The sequence below is a fragment of the Homo sapiens genome, chromosome 3 (assembly GCF_000001405.40).
Source record: "Homo sapiens chromosome 3, GRCh38.p14 Primary Assembly".
NCBI lineage: Eukaryota > Metazoa > Chordata > Mammalia > Primates > Hominidae > Homo > Homo sapiens.
The window spans coordinates 41,394,693-41,407,075 of NC_000003.12; the positions used below are offsets into that span (position 1 = coordinate 41,394,693).

The following is a 12,383-nucleotide window of genomic DNA, read 5'->3' on the forward strand; positions in this document are numbered from 1 at the left end:
GGAGGCCATCTGTATTCCATTTAATTAGAACTGAGCTTCAGGATGGGCAAGTTCAAGACCACAACTGAGTTGACTGGGGCCCCTAGAATCTCTGATTGTATGTTTTATATGACTTGGCCCAACACTGACTGACCCAGGGTAAACTAGAAAGCTTTCGGAAGATTTTGAGGCATTTATCACAGATGGCAGGCCTGTAAACATTATGGGCATTCTTGAACAACTAAAGAAGAGACATCAAAGAGTTAGAGTGACCTTCACAGGTACCCTCCAGAAGAGGGTAGAAAACAGTATATTTTAACTCTTGGGACTGTCCAGGCTATTTCTGTTATTGTTGCTAAGCAAACAGTTGTTGTGATCCCAATGCAGAACATTTTTGCATCTTACTTCCTAATCACCACACAGAAAGGCTCCACAGTTTCTTGGAGAAATGCCTGATTCCAAGGCTGCAGCAGTAATACAACATGAGCCTGGAATATCACATTATGATTGAAAGCACTCCAAAAAAAAAAAAAAAAAAGATGGAGAATGTCAAATGACATAGCAGACATCCAAAAGCCATTCCCATTAGCCAAATCTGGGGCAGCCGTGGATTGTAACTCACTGAAAACTTCATGAGCCAATCCTAATAATAACAGAGATAAGTTTTAAAAAATCAATAAATGGGACAGAAAAGGTGGAACAACACAAATGTCCATCAATGGATAACACATTTTTAAAATGTGGTATACACACACAATGGATTATTAGCCCTAAAAACGGAGGAAATTCTAGCACGTGCTACATCATGAATTAACCTTGAAGCCACATACCAAGTGAAACAAGCCAGACATAAAAGGACAAATATTGTATAATTCCACTCGTACGAGGTACCTAGAGTAGTCAAATTCATAGAAACAGAAAGTCGAATGGTGGTTATCAGGCACTGGGAGAAGGAGGAGTGGGAAGTTATTGTTTAATAGGCACAGAGTTTCAGTTTGGGAAGATGAAAAAGTTGTGGAGATGGATAATAGTGATGGTTGCACAACAATGTGAATATGCTTAATGCCACTGAACCATATACTTGAAAATAATTCTAGTGATAAATTTTATGCTATATACATTTTACCACAATAAAAAGAAAATAGATGAGCAGCACCAGCATCAACTTCTGTTTTTGCATACAAAGGTAAAAATCACTTGGATTCAACTTTTCTTCCACAAACAAAATCTACCCGGCCCTATAAGGCAGGTCAGATATTATAAAGAAGCCATTTTAAATAGTAAAGCAAACTAAAAGATGGTAGAATCTGTTGATTTTGACCAAGTTGGGGTCTTATTAATTAATCTGTATGATTAATTTGATCAGTGTTTTAGTAAATAACATAACTTATTTCCATAATATCTGCAATTCTAAAATCTAGAAAGCTCTGAAAATCCAAACTTTTTTTCGTAAGTTTTGTTCAAAAACACATACGGTAGCAAAATCCTGAACTCACAGGAGCCCATGTTTGGTCTTTATTTACCCCTGCCTGGTGTAAATATTCATACATTTTGCCACAGAAATATTACTGTGCTTATGATGTCATTGCCTGAGTGTCTCCTATGGGCATCATATAATATACGGTATAAGTACCATGCCAAAAAGATCTGAAATTTCTAAGTTTCAAAAAAAAAATCTGATCCTGAGTTTCAAAGAGACTGTAGATCCCTACAAAATTTAACCATATCAGATATCAGACCAATATTTTCCAAGCTTCTGACATTCTCTACCATATTCACAGTTTTGCCATATCTACAGATCACTTGTATTATTATAGTCTCTAGTACTTGTCTTCAGATTGACTCACCTTTTTCTTTACATAAAGTAATTTTTTAAAGAAACATCTCCACTGTAAAAGATGAGAGCTTGAGAGGCCTGCTCTGTTAAAAAGGGAAATTCTGAAGGATTAGAGGGGTGTTAAAGACACAACAACTGAGGCTTTTGCCTTGAATAACCAGAAAGTCCAAAAGAAAATGGAAATGAAATAACTGCCTCACTACGTGATTCCACATCATCTAGTGCTAGGCTGATGTACCATCTCCAAGACCTACTGTCCTCAGAAGTATTCATCCCACACTTGGGGAACTGAACTAGACCATCATAATCCTGCAATTCAGGTAGTGACTCTGCTGAGATTAGTAAGTCTTGTTTTGGGGTTGGGGGGGAGTCACACCCATACAAAAGCACAATATGGCAGTGAAGGAGTCAATCTGTTTATCTCCCTTCTAGTTCTGTCACCCATCACCTGTCATACAGGTTCAGCTGGGTCACTCGCTGCAACTGTCTACCTATCAAATTGGTGCAAGTCATTTTGAGTACATCTCTGGAACATCCACAGCCTCCACCTGCCAAAGGATACCTCAAGGTATTAGGATCTAGAAGTGAACACAGACTGACAAACCAGAAGATGATAGGTGAACAGAACCCCCATCCTTTATTAACTTCAACACTAGCTACTGTAAATAGTGGCCTTCAAAATCAGCAGGGAAAGATTTACTGTAGAAAGAGAATAGGTTTTCAAAAGCACTTTCAAATAGACGTCAGCTATATATGCATTTTTAAATAAAATAAGTGAAGCAGAAGGGAAAGTTTTTCCTTACAGTGGAATGCTGGGAGTTATAAATGTTGGGGATGAGAAAATTTCCATTTTGCAACTACTACAAAATAATAATAACTAACTACACATTGATTAAACCAAGTGATCAAAATTAATACCACCAGTGAGGGGCAAACAGCCACCAAAAGCCTCTGGATATGATGGATTGAGAAGGACCAATTTACTTCTAGAGTACTAACAAACCTAATCGTGAAGAAACATCAAACAGACCCAAACTCAGGGAGATGCTACAAAATACCTGGCCTATAATCTTCAAAAATATCATGAAAGACAAAGACTGAAAGACTATTCCAGATTAAAGACACATGTCTACCAAAATACATAATCCTAGACTGTATCCTACACCAGAAAAAAGGCTATGAAAGTTACTGGGACAGCTGACCCAACTAGAATATGGACAGAAGACTGGTAAAGGAATTTTATCAGTGTTAAACTTCCTGATTTTGATTACTTAAGTAACAGAATATCAATTTTATTTTAGGAAATACAAACTTAGATGTTAAGGAGTGTGAGGCACAATGTCTCTAACTTACTCCCAAATGGTTCAGAAAAAAGTATGTATATATGCAGATAAACAGTATATGACAAATGTCAACAACAGGTGATTAAGGAGAAAGGTGACTGGGAGTTCTTGACAACTCTTGCAAATTCTCTGTAAATTTGAAATTAGGTCCAAGAAATGGCTACTCACTGTCCATGTCGCTGCCAGCAAAGCCACCCACAGTGTCCCCGGTTTCTGTGTGAACTCACCATTCTTCTGAGAATCCTTAACAGAAGCTTCTGCTCCTTTGGGTCCTCCTTGGATGTCAGTAAATGAGCAAAAATTTCCACATTTTCAGGAGAGAGGCTGTCCGGGTTTTCCCCTCCATACAGCTGAACCAGTATAGACAGGCACTTGGATGAAACATCAAAAATCTCAGGATCTTCATTAGGAAGCTGAAAATTAACAAATAAGACTATTTAAATTTCCTTGAAGACGGTATTAGTACTCAAAAAAAACACAGTAAAATTTGGCTTGATGGGGGTGTCAGCCTGAGTAGTCTGCTGAATACTTTTTTACTTTTTTTTTTTTTGAGACAGGGTCCCACTCTGTTGCCCAGGCTGGAGTGCAGTGGTATGATCACAACTCACTGCAGCCTCAACCTCCTGGGCTCAAGTGATCCTCCTGCCTCAGCCTCCTGAGTAGCTGGGAATAAAGACACACACCATCATCATGCCCAGCTAATTTTTTTTTTTTTTTTTTGGTAGAGACGTGGTCCCCCTATGTTGCCCAGGCTAGTTTTGAACTCCTGGGTTCAAGGAATCCTCCTTCCTCAGCCTCCCAAAGTGCTGGGATTACAGGCATGAGCCACTGCGCCTGGCCTAAATACTTTTTTAAATGCATCTTTTTCAAAGTGTATGTAGTTGCTCAAACAAAGCTAACAGCACAAAATCAGAAGGTCCTATATTCTTCTTTTTAAAAAGTTTTTTTTATTATTTTATTTTTATTGCCACATAATTATACATTTTTATGGAGTACAGTGTGAGGTTTCAATACACATATACAATGTGTAATAATCAAATTAGGGTAATTAACATATACTTTACCTCATACATATATCCTTTGTGGTGAGAACATTCCAAATCCTCTCTTCTAGCTATTTTGAAATATATATTATTATTAACTATAGTGCAGTGAAAGGACATACCCATATTCCTCCTATTTAATTGTAACTTTACCTACTGACCCGCTTCATAGTAACTCTATATTTAACCTTTTGAAGAACTGCCAGACTGTTTTCCAAAGCTGCCACTTGTACCAGCAATGCATGAAATTTCCATTTTCACTAACACTTGTTATTATCTGTCTTTTTAGTTACAGTTATCTTAGTAGGTCTAGAGGGGTAACTCATTGTGGTTTTCAGACGTACTTCCCTGATGGCTAATGATGTGGAGTACCTTTTCATGTGCTGATTGGCCATTTGCGTATCTTTGGAAAAATGTCTGTGCAGACCCTTTGTCCATTTTAAAAATAGGTCATTTGTCTTTATATAGTTGAGTTCTAAGAGTTCTTTATATATTTTAAATACAAGTCCCTTAACAAATACATAATTTAAAAGGTTTTTCCTTTCTGCAAGTTGTCTTTTGACTTTCTTGATACTGTCCTTTGAAGTAAAAAATATTTTTAATTTTGAAAACTCTAACTTTTTTTTTATACTTGGGTATATGTATGATTTCAGTGACAGATATCTAAGAATGTTTTATTTTTGTTTTTGTTTTTTGGGAGACAGCATCTCTCTCTGTCACCCAGGCTGGAGTGCAGTGGTATAAACATAGCTTACTGCAGCCTCAACCTTCTGGCTTCAAGCAATTCTCCCACCTCAGCCTCCTGGCTTCAAGCAATCCTCCCACCTCAGCCTCCTGAATAGCTGGGACCACGGGGGTGCACTGTCACACCTTGCTAATTTTTAAATTTTGTGTAGACGGGTCTCACCATGCTGCCACAGCTAGTCTTGAACTCCTGGGCTCAAGCAATCCTCCTGCCTTGTCTTCCTCCAAAGTGCTGAGAGTACAGGCAAGAGCCACCATACCCAATCACGCCCATGTTTTCTTCTAAGAGCTTTATAGCTTTAGCTTTTTACTTTGAGGTCTTCGATGCATTTTGAGTTAATTTTTATATATGGTGTAAGTAGAGATCCAATTTTATTCTTTTGCATGTGAATTAAACTTTTATTTTGAGATATTTGTAGGTTTGTAGGTTCACATGCAGTTGTAAGAACCAATTCAGAGAGATTCCATATATACTTCACCCAGTTTCCCCAATGGAAGCATCTTGTATAATAACTATGGTACAATATCACAGCTAGAACCTTAGCCATCAACCTTATTCTGATTTTACTAATTTTATATCTTTTTGTGTATGTGTGTTTGTACATATTGTATTTAGCTCTGTGTAACTTAATCACATGTGTAGATTTGGTGACAACCACCACCACCAAGAAAAAGAAGAGTTCCATCACAAGGATCCCATTATAGTAAGAGCCAACACCCACTCTCCTCCATCCCTAACCCCTGGTGACCACACACCGGTTTGCCATTTTGTCATTTCAAGTATGTTACATACATGGAATCACACTGTATATATGGTTTTCTTCACTCAGCATAATTTCTTTAAAATCCATCCAAATTTTTGTGTATCAATAGTTCATTTCTTTTTATTACTGAGTACTATTCCATGACATAGATGTACCATAGTTTAACTCATCCATAAAGAAAATGTGAGTTGTTCCCAATTTGGAGCTATTCCAAATAAAACTACTGTGAACATTTACACAAGTTTTTGTGTGAACATTAGCTTTCATTCCTCTGGGATAAATGCCCAAGAGTACAATGGCTGGGTTGTATGGGAGACTCATATTTAGTTTTTTAAGAAACTGTCAAACTGTTTTCTAAGGCAGCTGTAGCGTTTTACCTTTTTACATTCCTAGCATCAATGTACAAAAGATCCAATTTCTCAGCATCTCCCCTAGCACTTAGTGTTATCACTATTTTTTTATTTTAGCCACTCTGCTAGATAGATGGTGGTATCTCATTGTAGTTTAAATTCACATTTCCCTAATGGCAACTGATAGTGAACATCTTATCACCTATTCATGACTTTTGCCCTTTGTTAATTGGGTGTTTGATTCTTTATTCTTGATATTTGAAAGTTCTTTAAATAGTCTAGATACGCCTTAGATATATAGTTTTGCAAATATTTTCTCCCAGTCTGTAGCTTGCCTTTTCATCCATTTTACTGAGTCTTTTGAAGAGAAAAAAAAGTTAATTTTGATGAAGTCCAATTACTGGTTTTAGCTCTTAGCAATCGTGCTGTGGTGGCAAGAACAAAAAACTCTTTGCTGAAACACGTGTCCTGAAGACTTTCTCCTATATTTTTTTCTAAAGGTTTTATAGTTTTATATTTTACATCTTTAATCCACTTAATTTTGGGTTTTTATATAAAATATGAGATTTAGGTAAAGGATTTTATTGTTGTTTTGTTTTGCCACTGTGTATCCAATTGCTCCAGCACCATTCTTGGAAAGGCTATTGTTGTCCTATGGTACTGCATGTTTAATGAACTGGTAACAAGAGAAAGGCAGAGGAACTTTGTCTTGTAAGAATTAGAACCAAGGGGCTCCATAATCATCTGACATCAGTTCCGTGTTGTATCTATGGTGGTTAGAAATGTACATGATAGGAACTCTAGGAATCTTATGGATTCCTCTTTTAGGGTCTCTGGTCAACCATGGCAACAATGTGACAATGCTGAATTATTCTCTGTTTTAGGCAGTCTTCTGCGTAGGTTCCTCTGTGTGTGCATGGTAACTGTTCAAATCTTGGACCCTTGATGATCCTTGGAGCCACTCAATACTTCCACCCCAATTTCTCAATTTCAGCCATTATACAATCAGTTATACAAGGGATACATTTGGCATACAGACTGTCCATCATTGACTGCACTAAGTCCAGTTTGGCTTTAATGGAAAAGTTGATGAAGTTGCTATCGACAAGGATGTAGTAAGGTGGGCCCAGTTGTGTGATATACTGGAAAAATAAACAGGGATGCTGTTGAGGAACTTCTCCTTTAGCACACTAGGATCTTTTTCTTTCTTTTTAGGTTTTAATCTACCCTTTTCTTTAAGCCTTTGATCTGAGACTAAGCATTCACTTCATGGTTGCAAACTTCCTTGTTTTCTTTTGCTTCCCCATGGTCACGTCATACTCTTGTTTCTTCTGGAATCTATTAATTGTTAGTATACAGAAATAAAATTGATTTTTTACTGAGGTATAACTGATATACAAAAACTTGCACATATTTAATGTATACATTTTGATGAATTTTGTTTATTGATCTTGTACCCTGAAAACTTGTTGAACTCACTTATTAATTCTAGGAGTCTTTTTCAAGATTCTTCGGCATTTTCTACATAGATAATTGTGTCACCTGTAAATACAGATAGGTTTATTTCTTCTTTTCCAACGGGTATTCCTTTTATTTCTTTCCATACCCTACACTACACTAGTTAGAACCTCCACTAAGATGTTAAATGAGATTAGTGTGAGTAGACACTCTTGCCTTGTACCCAATCTTAGGGAGAAAGGATTTAGTAATTCACTATTAAGTATGGTGCTAGCTGTAAATTTTTCATAGATGCCCTTTATCAGGTTGGGAAGATTCCCCCTCTAATCCTAGTTTGATAACTTTTTACCATGAATAAGTGCTGGTGGTTCTGTCAATTACTTTTTCTGTGTCAATCCATATGATCGTGTAATATTTAATATTTAACCTGTTTATATGGTAAAATACATTAATTTATGTTTCAATGTTAAACAAGCCTTGCACATCTGGGATAAATTCTGCTCTGCTCATTCTCTTTATACATTGATGTATTCAATTTGCTAATATTTTGCTGAGGAGTTTTGTGTTTACAAGAGATACTGATTGTAGTCTTTTTTGGAGAGGACTTTGTCTTAGTTTAGTATCAGGGTAATATCACCCTCATAAAATGAGTTGGGAAATGTCCCCTCTTCTATTCATGTCTGTAATCCCAGCACTTTGAGGGGCCAAGGCAGGCGGATCATCTGAGGTTGGGAGTTCAAGAGCAGCCTGACTAACATGGAGAAACCCCGTCTCTACTGAAAATACAAAATTAGCCGGGCGTGGTGGCACATGCCTGTAATCCCAGCTACTTGGGAGGCTGAGGCAGGAGAATTTCTTGAACCTGGGAGGCAGAGGTTGTGGTGAGCCAATATCATGCCATTGCACTCCAGCCTGGGCAACAAGAGTGAAAACTCCGTCTCAAAAAAAAAAAAAAGTAATTATATAAAATTGATACTTAATTCTTCTGTAATTGTTTGGTAAAATTTTCCAGTGAAATTATCTGGGCCCAGAGTTTGCTTTTTAGGAGTATTAAATTATAAATTCAATTTCTTTAATGATTATAGGACTATTCAAGTGTTCATGTTGGTTGAGTTCTGGTAGTTTTGGAAGAATTGGCTCATTTCTTCCAAGTTACAGAATTTATGAACATAAAATTGTTCACAGCATTCCCTTATTATTCTTTAAATGGTTGCAGATATACACTGACATCTCTTGTTTCATCCCTTATATTGATAATTTCTGTCTTCTCTCTTCTTTGTCAGTTGGATAGAGGTTTTTCAATTGTACTGATTTTTTTTCAGAGTCAGCTTTTTGTTTCATTGATTTCTCTGTATTGTTTTCCTGTTTTCAAATTCATTGATTTCTGGTTTGATCTTTATAATTCCTTCCCTTTTGCTTGTTTTGGATTAGCTTTGCAATTTTTCTAGTTTATGGAGGTGAGAACTTAGATTATTGATTTAAAATCTTTCCCTTTTACACCTTTTGTCTATAAGCTTTTGGTGTTGCAAATTTTTCTCTCAGGACAGCTTTTAGCTGTAGCCTACGTATTTTGATATGTTTTCATTTTCATTCAGTTCTATGCATTTAAAAAGCTTCCTGTGTGACTTCCTCTTGGACCCATGAGTTATCAGTGTGTTTACTTTTTAAATGTTGGAAATTTTCCTATTGTCGTTCTCTTATTGATTTCTAGTTTGATTCTATTGTTATTAGAGAACAATGTTCTATACTATTTCAATTCTTTTAATATTTCTTGAAGTTGCTTTGGTGGCCTAGGAGTCAGTCTATTAGTGGTGAGTGTTCCATGGGCACTGGAAAAAAAAATGCGTATTCTGTTGTTGTGTGAAGTGCTCTCTATCAATTATATTCTGTTGGTTGAGTGTATTGTTCAATTTTTCTATATTCTTGATTTTTTCGTCTAGTTGTTCTATTAATTCCTAAGTGGGAAAGCCCCAACTATCATTGTTGATTTGTCTATTTATCTTTTTAGCTCTATCATTTTTTTTTTTTTTTTTGCTTCATGTATTTTGAGGTCGTGTTGTTTAGAATGCATACATTTAAAATAGTTATGTCATTTCAGTGGATAGATCTTTTAATCATTAGGTAATGTCCCTCTCTGCCTCTGGTAATTTTCCCTGCTCTGAAGTGTACTTTATCTGATATTAATATAACCACTCCTGCTTTTAAAAATATTTTCATGATATACATTTTTCTTCCTTTTACTTTCACCTGCCTATATCATTATATTTGAGGTTTCTTGTAGATAGCATGCTGTTGGATCATGTTTTGTTACTCTGCTATGGTTTGAATGTGTTCCCCAAAAAGCATATGTTGGAAAATTAACCCCCGAGTTCAACAGTGTTGGGAGGTGGAACCTTTAAGAGGTGAGTAAGCCATGATGGTTCTACCCTCATAAATGGATTAATTCTGCCACAGAGGGAGTAGAGTCATTATCACAGGATTAGATTCCTTATAAAAGGACAAGTTTGGGCTCCCTGCTGCATATGTGCATGTGCTCAGGCTCTCTCTCTCGCCCTCTTGCACTTCCTTCATGTGATGCCTTCTGGCATATTATGACACAGCAAGAAGGCCCTTGACAGATGCCAGCTACCTGATTCAGACTTCCAAACCTGCAGAACTGTGAGTCAATACATTTCTGTTCATTATAAATTGCTTAGCCTCTGGTATTATGTTATAGCAGCACAAAATGGACTAAGAACTCTAATCATCTATATTTTTAAAAAATGATTTCAACTTTTATTTTAGATTCAGGGGTTATATTTGCAGGTTTGTTACCTGGGTATATTGCATGACGCCAAGGTTTGGGGTATCATTGCTCCCGTCACCCAGGTACTGAATATAGCACTCAATAGTTAGTTTTCCAACTCTTGCCACCCTCTCTTTCTTTCCAATCTAGTAGTCCCCAGTGTCTATTTTTGCCATCTTTATGTCCACGAATACCCAGTGTTTAGCTCCCATTTATAAGTGAGAGCCTGAGGCATTTGGTTTTGACCCTGTGTTAATTCACTTAGGATAATGGCCTCCAACTCCATCCATGTTGCTGCAAAGGACATAATTTCATTCTTTTTTATGGATGTGTATTATTTTACGCTGTATATGTATCATATTTTCTTTATCCAATCCACTGTTGATGGGCACCTAGGTTGACTCCATGTCTCTGCTATTGTGAATAGTGCTGCAGTGAACATACAAGTGCATGTGTCTTTTTGGAAGAACAATTTGTTTTCTCTTGGATATATATCCACTAATGAGACTGCTGAGTCAAACAGTAATTCTGCTTTAAGTTGAGAATTCTCCAAATGGCTTTCCACAATGGCTGAACTAATTTACTTTACCACCAACAGTGTATAAGCATCCTCTTTTCTCCACAGTCTCACCAGCGTCTGTTTTTTGACATTTTAATAACAGCTACTCTGAATGGTGTGAGATGGTATCTCATTGTGGTTTTGATTTCCATTTCTCTGATGACTAATTATGTGGAGCACTTTTTCATATGCTTCTTGGCCGCTTGTATGTCTTCTTTTAAGAAATGTCTGTTCAAGTCTTCTGCCCATTTTTTAATGAGTTTTTTTTTTGTTTGTTTTTTGTTTTGCTTTTTCAATTGTTTAAGTTCTTTACAGATTCTGGATATTAGACCTTCATCAGATACAAAGCATGCAAATATTTTCTCCCATTCTCTAGGTTGTCCGTTTCTTTTGCTGTACTGAAGCTCTTTAGTTTAATCAGGTCCTGTCCATCAATTTTTGTTTGTGTTGCAATTGCTTTTGAGGATTTAGTCCTAAATTATTTTCCAAGACCTATGTCCAGAGGGGTGTTTCCTAGGTTTTCTTCTAGGATTCTTACAGTTTGAGGTCCTACATTTAAATCTTTAATCCATTTTCAGCTAATTTTTGTATATGGCAAAAGATAGTGGTCAAGTTTCATTCTTTTGCATATGGCTAGCCAGCTATTCCAGCACCATTTACTAAATAGGCAGTCCTTTCCCTGTTGCTTACTTTTGTTGACTTTGTCAAAGATCAGGTGGCTGTAGGTGTGCAGCTTTATTTCTGGGTTCTCTATTCTGTTTCATTGGTCTATGTGTCTGTTTCTCTAACAGTACCATGCTGTTTTGGTTACTGTAATGTTATAGTATAGTTTGAAGTTGGTTAATATGATACTTCCAGCTTTGTTCATTTTGCTTAGAATTGCTTTAGCTATTTGAGCTCTTTTTGGTTCCATACGAATTTTAGAATGGCTTTTTGTAGTTCTGTGAAAAATGTCGGTAGCTTGATAGGAATAGCGTTGAATCTGTAAATTGGGCAGTTATCTCTGTCCTATAATTGGTGCATTTAGACCATTTACATTTAAGGTAAATATTGGGGGACTAGGGCTTAAGTCTAATGTGCAATTTTATTATGTCTTCTGTTTCCTGTTTCTCATTCTGCTCATTCTCTTTTTTCTACTTTCCTGTGGGTTACTTGAACATTCTATTTTTCCAGTGATGACCATTAAATTTATTTTACTCCCTGATTTATTAATAGTTTCCCTGGCATAACAGGGAAGGGTACACCCAACTGCCTGAAACAACAAACTAGCATACAAATGCATGAAGCAATGGTTCTTAAGACACTAGACATAAGATAATGAAGAACGGTTGTCCCTAAGAGATGGGACACAAATAGGGTGAGAGGTCTCCTATTTTCCCAGATTAGAGACTTGAGCGAGTTTCCAGGCCTATGTGCAGGGAGGACAACAGAGGGGGATCCCAGTGGATTCCTTAAGTTGAGGAGACAGAGCAAAAAGTCCTGAAAGACAGCTAGAGTTGATAGGACAAGTTTATAGGACAA

The 12,383-nt window shown here is 36.7% G+C and overlaps 1 protein-coding gene and 1 pseudogene across 6 annotated transcripts in view; both read right to left on the reverse strand.

Annotated features, from left to right (window-relative positions):
• The window catches only part of ULK4 (unc-51 like kinase 4), a 715,505-nt gene that overhangs the window by 148,094 nt on the left and 555,028 nt on the right, over positions 1-12,383 (reverse strand). For all 6 annotated transcript variants that reach the window (NR_136342.2, NM_001322501.2, NM_017886.4 and 3 more), the window contains one exon: positions 3,387-3,572. Coding sequence is in view for 5 of the 6 variants with exons in the window: in NM_001322501.2 (NP_001309430.1) it covers positions 3,387-3,572 (186 nt within the window). In the remaining variant the exon portion in view is untranslated. The remainder of the gene's footprint in view (positions 1-3,386; positions 3,573-12,383) is intronic.
• Positions 6,656-8,170, reverse strand: LOC107986076 (rRNA-processing protein FCF1 homolog; annotated as a pseudogene).